This window comes from Homo sapiens (genome assembly GCF_000001405.40).
Source record: "Homo sapiens chromosome 16 unlocalized genomic scaffold, GRCh38.p14 Primary Assembly HSCHR16_RANDOM_CTG1".
Taxonomy (NCBI): Eukaryota; Metazoa; Chordata; class Mammalia; order Primates; family Hominidae; genus Homo; species Homo sapiens.
In genome coordinates this window covers 859,338-879,872 of record NT_187383.1, presented here as the reverse complement: position 1 = coordinate 879,872, position 20,535 = coordinate 859,338, and the positions used below count along the sequence as shown (strand labels likewise).

Genomic DNA, 20,535 nt, shown 5'->3' with positions numbered 1-20,535 from the left:
TGAGTCAATAAAATTAAGAAAAATAAAACGGCTGTAAGGTAGTGACTAAACAATAAGTAACTTGTAATAAAAAAGACTAAGACATGAATGAGTCAATAAAATTAAGAAAAAAAATTAAGCAGGCTTTAAAGTACTGACTAAATAATTTGTAATCAAAATACCCATCAGACATAAATGAGTCAAAGTGTACAATTTATTTTTTTTGGAGATAGAGTCTTGTTCTGTTGCTCAGACTGAATGCAGTGGTGCGATCTCAGCTCACTGCCATCTTCACCTCTCAGGCTCAAGCCATCCTCCCATCTCAGCCTCCTGAGTAACTGGGACTACATGCATGCACCACTGCACCTGGGTAATGTTTTTTTTTTTTTTGGTAGAGATTGGGTTTCCCCATGTTGTCCATGCTGGTCTCAAACTCCTGGACTCAAGCATTCCAGCTGCTTTGGCCTTTCAAAGTGCTGGGATTACAGGCGTGAGGCACCGCACCTGGCCTCTTTCTATATTTGACATGAGAAAACTATTATAACTTCAGTCAATTATAAGTCATTATAAAAAAAAAATTAACCTCTTTGAGAGGACAGGACAGAAAGATCCTGACATGTTACCAAAGCTTATGGTAGGATAAATGTGCCATCACAAATGAATGGGAAGAGAGCAGGCCCTTCAGAAAATGGTGTGGCAAATGGTTACCTCTATCAAAAAAGTACAGATGAGCCTATCCTAAGAGAAGTAAAAGGAATAAAGGGAGGAAGGGAGGAGGGGGTGGGGGGAGAGAGAGAGAGAGAGACTGCAGAAGGTTTCAATGTTATAACACCCAGCTCAGCAAGGACAAGATAAAACAAGAGCTCTCAGTCATGGTCTAAGCTGGCAGTGCCTTTTTAAGAGGTTAATTTTGCAATTAGCATTAACAGTCTCAAAAACACTCATCACCTTTGACTTAGCCATTTCACCTACAATAATCTAGCATACTAAAACACTCAAAGATTGGATACATTTAGGTCAATAATTCTTCATCCATTAATTACACAATCACAAAAAATTTAAAAACTCTATTGGCAGCAAAAGCTGTCCTCAATAAATGTGATACTATTTACAGTTTCTACTTATACCACTCAGCTGGCCTTTAAAGCCATGCATACTTTTAATGTAAGTAGCCCCAGCCTACTTCTCTGGGCTTATTTACCAATGCGGCCTCCCACAGATGCTGTAAACCTGACACAGAAAGTCCCTGGCTCTTCTCCAAACACTGCCCACATGCCTCACAGCAGCACCTTTGATGATACTGTTTCTGCTTCCTGACACGTCCTCCTTCTCCTACATCTAAGGCCTGGCACAGGCCCCATCTCTTTTCATAAAGCTTCAGCCATACCTGCCTCAGAGGTAAATTTCTGACCCCCATGATTCCCAGGCTCATTTTGGTGCTGCTGGGTGTACATAACACAATCTGAAATGTGGTTCTGCATCTCTTCTTTGCACCTGGCTGAAGTTTCAGAGAGCAGAGTCTAAATAATTCATGGCTCCCTCAATTTCTAAACACAGTGCTGTATATTGAGTGGCACCTCTAGGTGACTACTTTGTACTCTAAATGTTAAATTGAGGGATGAGTGAAACCATATTAGGATTAATATACAGAAACAAATTTTTGAATTCCATCACTTAATAGAAGTGGCCATTTGAATGTTGGCATGTAGGAAGAAAAGAGGAGGACAAAGAATCCCCAAAAGTTGGCATCATAACTACTGCCACAAAAAAGGGGAATAAAGCAGAGTGGCAAGATAAAGACCAGGGAAACACAGGTTACTGCAGGACAGAAGAATCTTCCAAGCTTGTCAGTAATGTAAATTTCTCATTTTCCAATAAACTAGTGCGGCATAGGTCACTGTTTAGAGTCTTGTCTTCAAAATGTTTTCCAGCATCAAGGACAACAATCTACAAGAAACAAAATGGTGAGAAAAAGCAGCACACTCATGACTCTGAAGAGCACAGCATAAGGCTACAAAAAGGACCAAGCACCTTCTCAACCTGCAATGTGCTCAGTGTCTGAAATCATAAGTTAGGTGATGAACGGCTGGTAGTTTCACGTGAATTAATAACTTTCCTTCTTGCCCCCATGTTATCTCCCTCATCTGACCCACCCAATAAAACATCCTTAAAAGGCTCCTCTCAAATTCCTTGCAAACATTAGGCTCCTCTCAAATTGCTTGCACATGCTTGGAGAAGCTTGCAGTACAGTTAGTGCACTAATACACAACTGAACTTGAGCAACACAAGGCTTACAAGACAGCAAAGACAACAGCCAAGCTGGGCCCAGCAGCCATCACCTGAAGAACTCTTCACTCATTACGTTGGAGCAAATGATTTCTCTGGAACCAGGAACCACAGAACCCTGAAGGACAAACAGCTGGTGGCTAAGGACTCAAGGCCTGGAGTGAAAATGTAACATTTCCCTCCAAGTGCTTATTTCTGCTATAAACTGGTTTAGTTCTGCAATGAACAACTAGATTTCTAACTGATATTAATATTAATAAACTTTTTTTCTAAAAGACAGAGTCTCGCCCTGTCACCCAGGCTGGAGTGCAGTGGTGCAGTCATGGCTTACTGCAGCCTCAACCTCCCAGACTCAAGCAATCCCCCTGCCTCAGCCTCCCTAGTAGCTGGGGCTACAGATGGATTCCACCATGCCCAGTTAATTAAAAAAAATTTTTTTTTTGTAGGGATGAGTTCCCACTATGTAGCCCAGGCTAGTCTTAAACTTCTGGGATCGAGCAATCCTCCTGCCTTGGTCTTCCAAACTGCTGAGATTACAGGCAGTAGCCACTGCACCAGGCCATTAACACTTATATATGTAAAATACATACAGAATATAAACCACTACAAAACATAAATACAGTCCATCTTGATGTAACTTACCGTACTATGGATTTGTTTTAAAAATGAGGTAAAAGTCATTAAGAAAATGAAAGCATGAAAGAAGTCTATTAAAATTACAAAAACTCAAAACTGAGTAAACAAAACTTCAGAAGGAATGAAAACAATTGGAAAATAACTTCAGGAAAAATGTAAAATAGAAACAACACAAGAACAATTTGTGCCCTCTAAAAAACAGAGGTTAAAGTCAGGAAAAAAAATATTTTTTTAAGAGGAAACTTCGCTCTGTCGTCAGGCTGGAATGTAGTGGCATGATCTTGGCTCACTGCAACCTCTGCCTCCTGGGTTCAAGCGATTCTCCTGCCTCAGCCTCCCGAGTACCTGAAACTACAAGCATGCGCCACCACGCCTAGCTAATTTTTGTAGTTTTAGTAGAGACGGGGTTTCACCTTGTTGGCCAGGCTGGTCTCAAACTCCTGAACTCAGGTGATCCACCCGCCTCGGACTTCCAAAGTGCTGGGATTACAGACATGAGCCACCATGCCCGGCCAGGAAAATATTTAAAAACAAATTAAGCAAAGATTATAAAAGTTTTTGGAGTAACACAGTTCCCAAAATGATCACGATCCACATCAATCTGAGCCATGTTGACATCCCCACATCAAGCCCTTCCTGGTGTTCGAGGAATTTGCAACATAGACAGAGGTGCAAGGGTCACTGGGGAGGCACAGAGGTGGAGGGAGGAGGGGCTCCCTAGGGTGGTGCAGGTCTCAGAGAGGTCCTTGGGCACTGGAAGGTGACCTTGGGCCCCTGAGCTCCTGACAGTCAGGTCTACTCAGATGTCAAGGCACTGAGCCCTGTGTGCTGCTCTCTGCTGAGGTGTTATCTGTCCACAGAGAGTGTCTGTAAGTGTCATGGAGGAAGAACTGGACCTGGGCGCTCACATGGGCACCTTCAGGGGGCTGGTTCCCTGGAGAGCAAAACAGACAGAGAGAAATGGGGGAATTTCGAGGATTCCAGGATCAACAAGCAGAGTCCCATGCCCCTGGGCCCTAAGAGGAGCAGGAGCGCTCATAACACAGGGTGGGGGTGGTGACTCTGCCTTGCCACCCAGATCCTCTGTGCCATCCAGACAGAAGAGCTGCACGTTGAATATGCATAGCTTCCTGGAGCACGTCATTTTTATTGCCTAATAAGACCTCGTCTTCCTAGCATTGCCACCGGACCTGTCTTTGCATTGTAATTTTTAAAATTATGCTTTGGTAAGACATAAATTTCTCATGTTCATATATTCTAGCATAAAAGGGTTACAGAAGACATACATTTGAAAGAGTGAAAAGCAGTGTATATGTACACACACAAACATTCATATGTGTACCTTACTTCAAGATTGAAAAATACATTTAAAAAACAGAGGCTCCCTAAATCATGCCCTCAACCCCTCCCAGGTGAGCATCATCCTGAAATGTCTTCAGGGGTTTGTTTGGTTGGCATTTGGCACAGATACAGAACAACTGATGCCCAAGTCAGTGCTCTCTATGTACAGAAGCCTCCAACCTCATCTTGAAAAATGGGACCATGAGGCCATCCCAGACCCCCACAGAGGCTGAAGGACCCCTGGGATTGGAGGCCCCCAGTCCCCCACAGAAGCTGAAGGACCCCTGGGGCTGGGCACATTTCAGTGCTTCTTAGATCCTGCCATGTCCTCTGCTTGATGCCAGGACCGACTGAGTGCCCACTGGCCTGCAATACTGGGCCGAGTGGGCTGCTTGCTTGTGTGACAAGGAACTGGGGATGCCCCCATCCCTCTCACACCTTTCCCAGGAGGCCTGAACTGGGGGGGATTCATGTCAACCCTAGTGTCTCCTCAGGATGAACTAGTGATGCTCCCTGTTGGCCTCAAGAGGCTGGGAGGACAGAGCTAGGTTCCCCGAAATGAGATGGTGGTGAGATGAAGTGTCACTGCAGACGAATAACAGAGTGCACAGCCCTTGGAATTCAGCACATGGTGGTCTGACCAGCACCTCAGTGTCTCCCTCACTACGCAGCCTGTGGAGGGCTCAGCCCAGCAGGCTCAGGGGCTGCTATGGAGTGGGTGTCTGTTTCCTGGAGGATGTTCTCAGGGCATCCTTCACTTACCTTCAGAGGTCTCTAAAATAAACTAAAAATGTCCCAACAGTTCAGGACATTCTTCCTGGGCTTCCTGGTTTTCCTGATGGGACAACAAGAATGTGAGTGTAGCCATGAAGAACATGGGCACGTCTGTGCTTCCCTCATCATTCTGCCTGCTTCCACTTCCCCTCACACTTCCGCTTCCACTTTTGTCTTTTCTGTTGCTTCTTCTGCAGGTGCAGAGGAAGGACTTGCTGACATCTGTGAGAAAGAGAACAATTGTGCATGTCCAGAGACGCCAGTGCAAGAAAAGTTCTATCTGTTAAGGGGGTGCCCAGAGCAGACCAGATGTTACTGGGGGTCCCTCCAGCAGGGTGGGGTCCAGCTCTTCTGACCCCAGCCCAGTCCCCTCCCTGGACCCTGAAGTGTTGTTCAGCAAGATTGAAAGCTGCAACCTGGGGGCCAGTGAACAGGGCAATGCCAAGGCAGTGGGCAGGAGGGCTGGAGAGGATTTTATTGACACTGAAGACCCAAGAACCTCAACTGTGGGATGAGACCAGGTTCTTCAGGAGAACAATCAGAAGAGAGGGAAAGAGGAAAAGGACCAGAGCTAAAAAAGGAGCTCATGAGTCAGAAAGAGGATAAAAGAGAGAGAGCATATAAGAGGAGATCAATTACCTGCTGGTGGCCACCTGTAATGGTGGAGTCTTCCAATTCTGTGAAGCAAGCATCAGAGTGTCTGGAGGAGCAGTGGTGATGGGGTGGCCATAAGAAGGAAAGGGGAGAGTTAGAGTCGAGACAACCACTCAGACCCTGCTGTTCCAGGGCTGTGGAGCCAACCCCAGAGCCTCTGATGTGCTCATTTCTGGAGCCTTCTCCACAGCCTGTATCATTTCTTCTGTGCTATAAGGGAGGGATCTCTGACTTCCCACATACTTGCCCAGCCCTCACATACCATCACTGAGCCAAGGGAGGGTAAGCCGCATCATTCTGTTCCTCCAAGAGGCAGCCACCCTCTTCACAACCTTGTGCATGACATGGAATTCCCTCCCTCCTCGTCCTGTAGGGCCTGCTTCTGTTCCCTCATGAATCCCATTTCCTTTCTCCATGTGGACCTCCACCAGTCCTACTGTTCTCCAAAAGAAGAATATCAGAAAGAAGGTCAAGGCTTCACTTCCAGGGCCTACAATCAACCGACGGATCTCACCCTGGGTCGGCAGCACCTCCCACAGGCTTGGGGTTGTGTTGGGGCCTGTGGGAGGCAATGATGGCTGATGTCACAGATACAGTGACTGTTCTATGCCTGGAATGACCTTAGAGACTTGGAAAATATTCAGCCCTCAAAACAATCCCATCAGCTTCTGAATATTTGGAAACAATGGAACAGAATTCAGAGTAAAGCCCCTTGTCCCAGTTGCCTTAATCTGCAGGTGAGGCCAGCAGTTTTCAGCACAGAAATGAGGGGGCCCTCCCAGGGTTTGCCTGAGCTGTGGGAAGACTAAGAGGGAGGGCACCTGGCAGACCTGACACAGAGAACAAGCTGGGCCTGACAGGAGTATGGGGAGCAGGACAAGGCTGCTGGGCCAGAGAGGAGGGTGTGACAAGATAAATGACCCCGTGCCAGCTGCCCAGAGGCTCTGCCCTGGGCCCAGTGGATTCCAGGGACCAGGCTACACAGACGGTGAGAGCCACTGCCTACAGCAACACAGCAGCCCCTCCACATATATCCCCTAGGATTCCTGCCAGCCACAGAGGGCCTTGAGCTACAGCTGGACTCGGGCCTCTCCAACGAAAACCAATTTAGGTTTCATTCAAAGCCCAAGGATTTGGGATTGGATGGGACTGGGTGAGGAGTGGAGGCCAAAAATGTGCTCAATCATGTGTTCGGCCCTCAGGACTCCAGGATGCTGGGGCACACGTATGAATTCCAGAGGAATGATTCCCTATGTCATCCAACCCAGGGAGCACCCTTAGAGCAGGAGCAGATGGTGAGGACAGGACAGGAAGGTGCTGTTGCAGGTCCTGAGAGTGTAGAGAAAGACAGTGGGCTCCTTTCATCTCCTGGCACATGTATGAAGGACTTTACCTTCAGGATTACGCAGCACCTGGAAGGGGCTCTGTCCCACCCCACACTCAACTTTACACCTGCATACTCATCTTGTGATCTCTATTCACAAAAAAATGCTACCTCATCAAAACCCAGGGCTCTGGTGCTTGCTGTGGCAAAGGCAGAAATGATCTGGTCCTCTGCAAAATGTAATCTTTAAACACCAGAGCAAGAAATGATGGTGACAAACACAACTCACACAAAGCCCATAAGAACACAACTCTTACAACTTTGTCATTAAGATACAAAAAAAAAAAAAAAAAAAAAAAAACCCAAGTCAGACTTCTATACCTGTTTCCTTTCATATTTAGTCACTTCATTGATCCCATCCTAGGCTCCAAAACAAGTGTAACCCAATCTCCAAGAACGCTCTCTCACTGATCAACCCTGGGGTGTTGGTCCCTACCTGACCAGTCTATTTCCTCCTGGATGGATCCAGAGGTAGTGCCCATGAGCCCATGTACAGAGACACAAACATCAACATGACTGCTTTGTCCACTATGATTCTCCCTGGGCTCTGTGAACTCAGGGGACTTTATGAAGGCACTGCTCACAGCTGTGCACCTTCAGGTGAGACAGAGGACCTGAAATAATCCCTTTCAACTGTTCACCGACACTGGCTCATAGCATCTCTTACCTCCAATCTGAGAACCTGAGATTAAGCCTTGATGCACATGCACTGAGTTAGGTGGGTGCACTGAACAGAACCTGGGCCAGACTCCCAGCAGCTGCTTCCCAGGTGATTCTGGGAGAATGGAGATGGTCTCTTAAGAGTAGACATTTGGCAACTGGGAACTTCTAGCATGGCTCTTGTGAGGAGGTTTTGAATTTTTTCATTTATTTAAATATGAATGGGCACATATGCCACTCAGGACCACACTGGAATGCACAGGTCTAAACCCAAAGATGAGGAAGATGTGACTCTCCCCCCTGGTGATTCCTGGCAGAGTGGTTTGCTGCTCTGATCTGATCATTTATGGATAGGTGCTTCAGGGGCACAGGAACAAGCTCCAGGCCCCCTGTGAAGTGCAGGGATGCCACAACAAAAATAAAAAAGCCTGGTCCAGCAAAGGAGGGCTTGTAAACAGAAAAAGAGCATCTTCTGCAAGGAGAAAAGGTGAACCAATGTAGCCAGAGTAGAGATGAGGGGGACTCTTCATTGACTTCAGGACCCCACCCTATTCTCCTGTGACCTTGGATCAGAATCCATTCAGGTTTCTAGATTACCATGAGAAAAAACAGATTGAAGGAGATGAGCAGGAAGCCTTTTCACACTGGCGCTGGATCTCAGCAAAGGGGTTGGAAGCATTGGAACATTACTGGGGCCCAAGATGGGCTGCCAAGGGCTGAGCTCTGGGATGACAAGGAATGAGGAGGACATAGTCCTTGCCCTCCCATTGACGAGCCATGGCCAGGATTCATCAACACATAAGTAAAACAAAACAGAATTTGAGACTAATAATTCCAAGACTATCTCAGAGAAACAGGAAAAGTCTTGTCTTATAGGTCACATGGGAGAGTTGCAAGGACCACCTGGACTCTGGAGCAGCCCCTCTCCCTTGGCTGAGTTCACCTTGCACTGAAGCAGGATCTCTTCTCACCTCTCTTGCATCTAGTGTGGGGCAGCTTTCCTGCCTGAAAGCTGACACTCCTTCCAGTCACACAGGGTTCTGGGCCAAATCACACTTGGCCAACAGCAACTACACAAGGACCAGCTGTCAGGTGACTCCCAGAAGCAGGTGAAAAATAAGAGCTGATCTCTGTCCCAGCCAGAGACCAGGCCTGGGAAATACTTTGTATCTGGCTTGACCCTGAAATCCATCCCTGCTGATCATGTCCTCTCTGGGCAAAATTGGATGTTTCAAGAACTCACTTGTGTTCTCTGCCTCTCATTAATTTCTGGTGGTGCCATTGCCATCAACATACAGGAAATAGAGAAGACAAGAAACAAGAAAGTAGCTTCTCTCTTCAGGCTCTTAGGAAGACAGGCCAACAGTGCTAAAACCAGCTATGAAGTTGGAGCTTGACCCATTCTCCGTCAGTTGTAATATGAACATCCCGGCCATGCCCAGGTGATGATGCAGAACTGTCTCTGCTGATGTTGCACCTTGGCTTCCCCCTGTGGCTTTGTTGCCCTCATGCCTTCCTTCTGCTCTTCCAAATCGTGTTCCTTTTCAGGCCCAGGCCAAGGCTGTAGCCTACTGTCTCTCTCATAGAACCCACTGGACAGCACTCTGTGAATTCTTAGAGCCTCAATGCTGGTAACGCTGATTTGTGCCTTTAATCACACACAGCAGAGGGCCCCAAATACCACAAAAAAAAAACTATATTTTAGAGATTAAAGATGACTGGAGGAAATGGGCTATGAGGAGATAGTTTATGAGGTTAACGAGGGGCATTTTAAAATCACACCAGCCTCATTGTTTTAAAATATAGGATAAGTATTGACACCTACAGAGCAATCAAATTCAATTCATATACAATATATTTCCACCAAACGCAAGCTCCCAAAAGAAACTCAATCCAGAATTTGGCTAATTTTATTTTCATATAACCTTCAGCCAACCACCTTGACTTGTTTTTTGCAAAGGCCTTCAGAAGCAAACAAAAACTTCTGTCAACAGTGGGCTCAATGGGAACATCATGGAGCCTCTGCTGCAAAACAGCCTCATTTGTCTTTCCCCACCTCATAATGCATGAGTCACCCTCTATCCTCCTAGGAAGGCAAGTGCTTGCCCTGCCAGTAACACCCTAGGGCAAGCCTTTTGGTTATCTTTTCATGTTGCTGTGTTTCCTGAGCATAGAAGACGGAAACCAGAACTAGGCTGCATGATAGAGGCTGAGCCTGTACATGACCTTGACATTACGTATTTTGGACACTCACCACATTAATTCAAAAAGACACGCAGCAACTCAATGCGCACAACCTCACCTAACTTCAGAGACCACAGTTGTTCCCAGGGACTGCAGAATGTGACCATCATGCTTTATCTGGAACAACAATTTCTCCCATCACAGCCTATGCCCTCATTCATGAGGGGAAGCTCCACTCAGGCTGCCTGTCTACAGGAAGGCCAGAGAGACAGTGGCACATTGCTCATCATCTGGATTACTCATCAGTATGAGAGGGGTTCCCCAATACATACCCTTTTGTATAACTCCTGAGGATTTCTGTAATGACAGAAAATAAATTGCTATGAGCATCAGACCATGCTGTGTCCTGTGTGCACAAAACTTTGTTCACTTAGTGACATTAGAAAACAAGACGGAAACCAGTGTTGAAAGGAACCCAAAAGAAGAACAGAGCAAATCGACTCATATTAAAGACACAAATTTTTCTCGGAGGATGTTTCCTCTCAAGTCCGTGTTGGTTGGCAAGTAAGTGATTTTGCTCCAAAGAGAAAACAAAATTGGTAAGGCTCACTGCCGCACAATGTGTGACTGATTCTTTCATTTTCTCCCACTGTCTTAAATCAAGCCTCAGGGGGGACAGACTCTCACTTACAATTCTCCCCAAGGACATTGCGTAACTAATCTAAGATATATATTGCCAGATTCTCATATCTTAATTTAATCCAAATAAGATAAAGCTAAGAAAGCAACAGTTTTTCTCAGACAAATCCAGGTGGCCTGATCTTCACATCCTCTGGGTCCTCCTCCTCTCCGTTGTAACTGGACAGCTCCTGTAGTAGATCCTTCATCAGAACTAGGAGGATACAGAGTGACCATCAGCACCTTGCTGGTGGTGCTCATGAACAATTCAGTAACATTGCTTGAGGTGGGTGTGGGAGGAGGATAGCAGGCACAGGAGAGATGCAGGGAAGAAAGGGAATCAGGGCCCTTGGCTTTCTAGCTCCAGACCAACTCGTAAACATGAAATAGCCAATCTCAAACAGGGCCCTTCCTGCAGTGCCGGCTGTGTGTCCCTGGCAGCCTCTTAGGGCTCCTCCATCCTAATCTGACCTGAGCTAACTTGCCCTCTTATTGATCCCTACCAAACTCATTTCCTCCTCACAATCAATCCACAGGTACTGCTGCTCTGTATGTCATCACTCTAGAAGATTTTGCACTGAATAAGAAGCAACTTTTCTTAAAATAGGAGATTTAGTTATTGCCAAAAGATTTCATTAAAAAATTTTTTGTTATAAGGCAATTAAACCAAGATTTGAAAATACTCAATTATCCTACCATTTAAAGATGACTCCAACTTAGCACATGACATTTGTTCTTCCACTCTTCCTTTTCAACACAATGTGTGTGCACCATGGAGTTCACTGCTCCTCATGCTTACAGTGACTCCAGCACAGAGACAGTCTGTCATAGGGAGCAGCGAGGGGGACGGGGTGCAGACACTGACCGTCTCCAGCCGAGCTGTGTGGGAGATTCCAGCAGGGAAAATGGGTCCCAGGCTAACACCCAAGTTGATCCTGGAGATTTTATTGGATGCTATGTCTTTGGATAGGGTTCCACTGAATTTCTAAGACTTGTGGTGATTATCTCACTAAATACAACAGAATATGCCATTGATTATTGTCTGCTTTTGAACAAGAGCTGAGGAATGACTTCACCACTGTAGACCAAAAGCCTGAGGACTTTGTGTGTTTTACATTAGTGATCACACTAAATCCCACTGGGCAATGTACCAACTCAAACAAACCCTGGGTTAGCTGACCGTTGAGATCATCCAATAATGATAGTGTTTGGGATCTGAATAGATTTTCATTCTTCCACATGCACACAGAAGTGCTGGAATAACTTGGCCTAGCAAGAAATTATACTAGGGCTTTGTGACAAATTCAGTGTAGTAGTCCATGACATTAACCTTCCACTCATTCCCGAGGTCACACGTACCTCTTCCATTTAAAGGACCAAGAGCTTGGGAAATTCGACTCTGCACCATGTCCATCTGAGGACTGGGGATATTAAACTTATCTTCAGGTACAGCTGTGGTGGAGGATGAATGGGTTGATCCATGCAAACTGTGCCGTTGTGATGGAATTTTTCTTGCACATTGATCCTCGTGTTGTGCTTTGAACATGGGAGTATGTTTTCTGGGGAAATGCACACACACTCCCAAAGACATCCACAATCATTCCATATAGACTCTCTCCTCTGTCCCTCCCAACCCTGATGTACCACCCCACCTTACGTGACACTGTTGCTTCCAGGGATGACAGTACCGTGGTTAGAGTTGTTTACTGGACTCTCAGTATTTTTTTAAACCAAACTTCACAAATCTCATTTCTGGCAGAAAGCTCAAGCCAGAGTGGCTCTTGAGCAAAAGCAGGCAAAGCAGTGCCATCTTTGCAACACTAACATTTTGAACCTAAAAAAAGAGATGATCCCAGAATACTTACTCTTTGCCAGTGTGGCTGGGTCCCCGCTCATCTACAGAAAAATAACAAAACACTATGAGGGTCAGACCAGGCTGTGTCCTTTGTGCACAAGTCTTTTCTTCACTTGTTGGTGTTAAAAAAATATGGTAAATAGTGATTGAGACAATGGCCCTGATATCTAGAAGACATTCCTGGAAAGGCATAAGAGTTTTGTACTGAATTTTCAATTGTTTTTGTTAGACAATTCCAAATGCTTCTCATAAGAAGGCATTTATCTTGAGGAAAATGCCTGCTGACATACGGTCTGTAAATGTGGATGCCACCTGAAACAATTTTTTAGTTGATAATTAAGTCTGACATTTGCCCACCAAGAAATTCTATCAGTCACCTATAGTGTACATGGTAAGATGTGTACATCTTAATTCAATTGTAACAGAGAGAAACCGAGAGAAATAAAATTTCCATTTCAGAGGAAAAAACACGACTTTGCCATGTGAACATTTGTGGCTTCCTCAGAGGATGTTTGCCCTGGCATATCCTCCTCCCAGTCTTCCAGGTCACCTGGGAAACAGAGTCACTATAAGCACATGAGCTCCACGGAGTGAATCCCTCAGGTGATCTTGGAGCTGTGGACACGGGGCTGGCGTGTGTGGATAGATGTGTGGAAAGGTGTGTCCACAGCACAGACTCAGCTGCTGCCAGTCCATCCTCCATGGTGCTGAGGGAAGGCAAATGGTGAAGGAAGGCATCAGGAAGGCCACAGAAGACAGAGCCTTGGTCCTGTAGCTAAGGCAACCTCTTTGACATTACATAACCCATCTCAAACAGGGCACACCACACAGGGTTTCCCTGTAGCATCTCATGGCTCCTCCTTCCTAATCTGACCTGAGATAACTTGCTCTTCCTTCTTGATCCCCTTGAGGTCATTTCCTCCCCAGGATCCACGTGTCCTGCTGCTATGTTTTTCGTTTCTCCTAGAATATTTTTTTTTTGAGATGGAGTTTTACTCTTCTTGCCCAGGCTGGAGTGTAATGGCGTGATCTTGGCTCACCGCAACCTCCACTTCCCGGATTCAAGCAATTCCCCTGCCTCAGCCTCCTGAGTAACTGGGATTACAGGCATGTGCCCCCACACCTAGCTAATTTTGTATTTTTAATAGAGACTGGGTTTCTCCATGTTGGTCAGGCTGGTCTTGAACTCCTGACCTCAGGTGATCTGCCCTCCTTGGCCTCCCAAAGTGCTGGGATTACAGGCGTGAGCCACCGTGCCTGGCCACAATTTGTACAAGATAAAAAGCTACCTTTCTTCAACAGGAGATTTAGTTCTAGCCAAAATATTCTGTGTATTCATTAACCTTCTGTTTTAAAGAAGACTAAACCAAGATTTGAAAATACTCAATTATCCTACCATTTAAAGATGACCCCTACTTGGCCTGTGATATTTGTCCTTCTGCTCTTTCTGTTAACACAGTGTGTGTGTGTGTCATGGGGCCCGCTGTTGCTCATACTCACACTGGCTCCAGGACTGGGACAGCCCTTCATGGGTGGCAATAGGTGGGGATGCTGACCTTCTGTTAGCCAGCTGTGCAGAAGATTCCAGCAGAGGAGATGGGAACCAGGCTAACAGCCAATTGGCTCCTTGAGATCTTGTTGTGTGCCGTGTCTTGGGTATGTGTGCTACTGAATTGGAGCATTTCTAACGTTTGTGGTGATGATCTCATTAAATACAATAGAATATATCTGTGAATGTTCTCTGCCCTTGAGCAGGGGCTGAGGAATACCCCATCACTTAAGACCAAAGGCCTGGCAACTTCTTCTGTATGTTTCATATTAATGACCACACCAAAGTCCACTGTACAATGAACCTACTCAAACTCTGGGTCAGCTGACCATTGAGACCATTCTATTGTGGTATACAGTGCTGGAGATCTTTATAGGCCAACATACTTCACATATATACATAGATGCTAAGGACTCTGTGACATGGTGACAAGTTACACCAGGGCCATGTGATAACTTCAGACTAGCAGCCCACAGCATCACCCTTCCACCCATTCCCGAGTTCATCTATGCCATTTCCACTTAGGAGAACAAAAGCCTGAAAAATTCATCTCTACATCATCTCCACGTGAGGACTGGGCATATCAAACTTAACCTCCAGCTACAGCTGTCATGAGGAATGAATGGGTTGATTTTTGGAAAACGCAGTGGTGATGAAATGTTGTTTTTAGAATATCAATCTTTGTGTTGTGCTTTGCACTTGGGAACATCTTTTCTGGCGAAAAGCACACAAACTCACAGAGACATTCACAATCACTCCACATTGACTCATTCCTCCATACCTCCCAATCCTAATGCACAGCACCTTCTTCTATACAAATGGCACAGTTCCTTCCAGGCACTAGAGTCAACGGTCACATTTCTTGACCGGGTTCTTCACTTTTGAAGACAAAAGTGCATGAACCACATTTCTGGCAGGAAGTTCAAACCAGAGTGGCTCTCCAGAAAAAATGAGGCAAGAAAGTGTCACCTTTGTCAACACTAGAAATTTTCCTCAGCATAGGGGTGATCCCAGAATATGTACTGTTTGTCTCTGTGGCTTTGTCCACCTGCATTTAGAGAAAAACAAAACACTATAAGGGTCAGACCATGCTGTGTCCTGTGTGCACAGGTTTTTATTTCTCTCTCTCTCTCTCTTTCTTTGCTGGAATCTCGCTCTGTCCCTCAGGCTGGAGTACAGAGTCATGATCTTGGCTCACTGCAACATCCGCCTCCTAGGCTCAAGCGATCCTGCTCCCTCTCCCTCCCCAGTAGCTGAGATCACAGTTGCTGGTCAGCATGCCTGCCTAATTTTTATATTTTTAGTAGAGATGGTGTTTCACCATACAGACCTTTTCTTTACTTGGTGACATTACAAAAACAGATGGGAGACAGTGGTTGAGGCGATGGTCCCAAAATAAAGCCTAGAAGACATTTCTGGAAAGGCACTAGGTTTTTATGCAAGACTTCCAAGATTCTTCTGGTTGTATAGTCAAAATGTTATAAGAAGAAAGCTTTTCCCCTAAAAAAATTCTTTCTGCCATACAGTTCATAACTGAAGGTGCCATCTAAGAATACCATCTGAGATCATTTCTTACCTGGTAATGAACCCTCACATTTTCCCACCAAAAAATTCTGTAAGTCATCTATAATGTACATGGTAAGATTTTCATATCTCAATTCAAATAAAATAAAAAACCAAGAGCAACAAAATTTCCATCTTAGAAACATAAAGAAGAACTTACCATGTGAACGCCTGGGACATCCTCAGAAGAAGTTTCCTGTGCCACGTGCTCATCGTGATCTAGGAAACACAGAGTAACTGTCAGCATATTGGTTCCACTGAAGGAATCCCTTAGGCAAACTTGGGTGCTGGGGGCAGGGGGCTGGTGTGTGTAAAGGAGGTGGGTTAAGGGCAGAAACTTGGCTGCCACTGGGACACCATCCTGGGTGATGAGGGAAGGCAAATGAGACCATCAGGAAAGGCACAGAAGTTAGGGCCTGGTTCTCTGGCTAAGCAACCCTCACCGCTACAAAATAGGCAGAGTTCACACAGGGCAGCATACAAATGCACAGCTGATTTCATGACAGTGTCCCATCACCCCCTTGTGCATTTTGAGGCCTGGTAAATTTCCTTTTTTTGTTGTTGAAATGTTATAATGTCATTTATCTTTTCTGGATCTACATATGCTCCTCCTGCACTTATCATCCATTTTATTGGCTTTAAAATCAATATTGTGGCCAAAATACATCATATTTATTATTTTAATAATCAAGTGCACACTTCAGGGGCATCAGTGCCCTTCCCAATTCTGTGCAGTAAACTAAACATAATCCAAATCCAGTTGTCTTACTTTCCACCTTAGGAAACTAGACAAAAAAAGTGTAGTGAATTGTAAACCAGGCAATCCCCCTCCCCAAAAATATAAGAATATTTGCAGAAATCAATGTAATACAAATAATAAACAAAGAAACTTAACAAAACCAAAAGCTGCTTCTTAGAAAAGATCAATAGAATTGGTAAACCTCCAGCCAGGCTAATCACAAAGAAACAACACAATGTACAAATAATATGAATAGAAGAGGAATTATCCCTGCTGATCCCATGAACACTAAGAAAATAATAACAGAATACTTTCAACAAATTTATGCCTGCAATTTTTTAAGTGCAGGAGTGAAAGGTTATTGAAAAGTTTTAGAGTAGGAATGACAGGAAGCACAGTAGCCTTTGACAAGAACCAAGCAGGAAACTTGTGAGATTCAAGTGTCTATGTCCACAAATTTCCTAGCTTAGATGAAATGGACAAATGCATTCAAAGGGAGAAATTATCATAACCACCCAAAGGAGAGATAGATAATCTGGGTAGGCCTCTATTATTATAGAATTTAATCAGTAAGTAATAACTTTAAAAAAACATGCCCACATAATTATACTGGTGAATTCTGCCTAACACAACAGAAAACATAGTCTTACCAGCAAGTGATCAAAATTCTATATATTTACCCAGCTATATTTAAAAATTATGTTCATGTTAAAATCTGCACAAGAATGTGGGCAACTTTATTCATAATTACCCAAATTGGAAGCAGCTGAGATGGTCTTCAGGAGGTGAGTGAGCCAACTAATACTGTTTGATGAAACCAATGGGCTATTGTTCACTGATAAGAGTTATTAAGCTGTTAAGCTTCAAAACAATACAAAAGATCTCACATGTATATTGCTAAGTAAAATAAGTTAGTCATAAGTAGCTACATACTTTATGATTCCAACTCCATAAAATTCTGGAAAAGGAAACCTATAGAGGCAGTAAAATCATCCACAGTTGTCAGGAATCATCAGAAAAGGAGAGGAATTAGTAGGTGCAGCTCAGGTCATGTTTAGGATGTGAAATTATTCCATCAGGGTGACAAAGGACATTGTCAGTTTGTCAAAACCCAAAGACTGGACAACACAGAGTGAACCTTGATGCTAACCCTAGACTTCTGTTCAAAAGAATGTGTCACTATTGGCTCAGTCACTGATGCTAACCTTGGACTTCTGTTCATAAGAATGTATCACTATTGGCTCGGTCATTGTTACAAGCGTTATCACACTCATGTAAGATGGGTTCACAAAAAAACACTGAGGAAGGTGGGTATATGGAAATTTTCAGTACCACTTCCTCCATTTTTAGGTTACTTCCAAACATTTTGAAGTGATGTCCATTGCTTTACAAATCTGGCAACACTGTCTCAGAAAAAGATCCTTCTTAGTTAATGTTTTAACAATCAGCAAAATATCTACAATTTGCACTGAGATGTTATTTACTATTAAAAGTAAACCCAAACCTGGAATGGAAATACACCTTTACTCCTGTAGTTGTAGCACTAGTAATTGACTTAACACATTTACATATGTACACGATATAAAGAATATAGCATTGCAATTTTATAATTGTCTGAAATATGAGACACTGAAGAATCTAGAAATCATATCATGAATGAACTGAATGACTGAATTTCCAAGATAACTTCTGTTGATGCAACTCTAGAGTGTACACAGCTGTGAAGCCAGTGATGGAGGATTCACTTCTTACACTTGTGGTGGCAGACGGTGGATTCCCCTGGCACCCCAGGATCCACTCTTTGATCTTCAACAGAATATGCTGGGAAATGAACTAAAATAAAGACAACTGTTGATATCTTGCTGCAAAAGATCAGAGAAATGAGTAATTATTTATTCACAGCTTAAATGTTTGATCCCATTGTTCATCATCTGCAGAGCAAAGCCCCCTGAATCTGAGTTGGGCTTCAGAATGAACCTGCACTATGGGTTGCACTTATAACTGTGCAGGCAAATGCCTGTATTGAGATGAGACATTACAGACAGGTAGTAGATTGGAGTGACCAAGAGCATATGGTCTGGTGCATAGGATCTGAGCTCAAGGACTTTTGAGAAGCTGCTAGAACCTGAGGAAGTTCTACAGACTCCACTGTGCCTCTAATCCCTAGTCTGAATGTGGAAATGTTGATAATGGCCTACGTTATGTTAAAAGGGTAAAAATAGTTAAATGGACCTAAAGCCTTAAGATCGGTGCTTCCTAAGTACCATAAAGTGTTCAGTTATTTCACATCTGGAAGAATAAGCCAGGCCCTTGGTAGTGATTAATAGAGAAGCCACTGGGAGACTCCAGGGCAGTGGAGGGTAAAATTAGCTTCATTCTTGACATGGATCTCATGCTTTAGAACTCGTGAAAAAGTTCCATTCAAATTTCCTGTGATGCCCACATCACCCCAGAAAGATAGGCAGAGCAGGGGCTGCCACTCAAGAGTTGATGGTTCAGGGAAGTGAAATGAAGAGAATTGAAGCGACCTGCCTAGAGTCACAACACTGATGAATGATAGATCTGGGACAAGAATTTGGTTGGTTTTCTGGGGACAGAGATCCCTGAACATCTGAGGCCTCTAAATCATGGCCTGGACCCTGAACCTGGAGCTCTTTCCTCTCCCTTTCTCAATCCTCCTGCACCAAGGGCCTTTCGGGAAGGTTGGTGTATTAAAGAGGTGGTGACTCCAGAAAAAACCTCAAATCATTTAACAAAACAAAACTCCTGTCTCTACATTTTAACTCCAGTGCTAAAATGTGGCACTTTCCTGCAAATGAAGCCTCTCTGAGGAACAAATTCAAATGTCTGGTCATCCTACCCAGCACCCTGTATTGTCTGCTGTCTGGCAGTGAGCACTCCTCCATGATCAACTGACCACACCAAGGGACCAAGTTCTGCTTGGCCCCCAAGTTAATTTGGAATGTAGGACATTCCAAACTAACTACCACTTGATGGCTGTGCCAAGAATCAACTTCCCTTCAACTGAAACATTCTGAACAAGCAATTAATGGGAATTAACTGAAAATGTGGCACCCCAGTTTGTTTTTCAGTGGTTTCTTCTGTATCTAGTCTATGAAAGAATGTGGGGGAAAAATGCCAGGTGTGGTGGCTCACCCCTGTATCTCAGCACTTTGGGAGGCCAAGGCTGGCAGATCACAAGGTCAGGAGTTTGAGACCAGCCTGGTCAATATGATGATATGGTGAAACCCTGTCTCTACTAAAAATACAAAAATTAGACAGGCATGGTGGCAGGCACCCATAGTCCCAGTTACTTGGGTGGCTGAGGCAAGAGAACTGCTTGAACCTAGGATGCAGAGGTTGCAGAGAGCTGAGATCATGCCACTGCATTCCAGCCTGGGTGACAGAACGAGACTCTGCCAAAAAAATAAAATGTCCAAGTACTGTGGCTCATGCCTGTAATCCCATCATTTTGGGAGTCCAAGGCAGGTGGATCAGGAGGTAAGGAGTTCAAGACCTCCTTCGCCAACATGGTGAACCCCTGTATCTACTAAACATACAAAAATTAGCCAGGCATGGTGGTGGATGCCTGTAATCCCAGCTACTCAGTAGGCTGAGGCAGCAGAATTGCTTAAACCTGGGAGGTGGAGGTTGCTGTGAACCGACATCACACCACTGCACTCTAGCCTAGGCAACAGAGCAAGACTGTCCAAAAAAAAAATTGGCATTGGAAACAGTGCGTTTTTCTAGAAAAAAATCATTTGAGGCAAAAATCTTGATAGAAGAATTAAAAAATACAAATTGAGTAATAAAACTCTAAAACATATTTAGAAATCTGTGGACAAATAGGAGCTGGGAAAATAAAAAATAATCAGAATGACATTTAACATACAGAAAAACTGGCACATCTGAAGAAATTGTGGTCAGAAGATGGAAATGAACATACATACCTCTGAGGCAGCAACTACAAACATTTCCCATTGTGAATCCTCTGAGACAACTAAGCTGTGTTTACTGCCAAAGTTCAGTTGCCAGAGTGGCAGTTAAAATGAAAGGCAAGACCTACATCATCAGATCATGTCAGTGACATGTCACAGTAGAATTTTCACAAGCATACATGTCACAATATGGGGCCCAACTGCTGTGATCCTGACCAACCCATTGTCACATCAACAAGGGGTCACTCAGACTCCATGTTTCATTTCAAAAACTGAATCCCAGACACAGAGTATTATTCTGTGTGTATGAAACAA

The 20,535-nt window shown here is 44.3% G+C and overlaps 1 pseudogene across 1 annotated transcript; it reads right to left on the bottom strand.

The window, feature by feature from the left end:
* Positions 1 to 5,087: 5,087 nt before the first annotated feature.
* Positions 5,088 to 20,305, bottom strand: LOC107987382 (protein FAM153B-like; annotated as a pseudogene). Its single transcript, NR_171659.1, has 8 exons — positions 20,233 to 20,305; positions 18,035 to 18,115; positions 15,704 to 15,762; positions 14,950 to 15,028; positions 10,720 to 10,790; positions 10,231 to 10,257; positions 5,656 to 5,716; positions 5,088 to 5,238 (listed from the first exon to the last, which is right to left on the bottom strand). The product of NR_171659.1 is annotated as a protein FAM153B-like (transcript).
* Between the last annotated feature and the right edge of the window lie 230 nt (positions 20,306 to 20,535).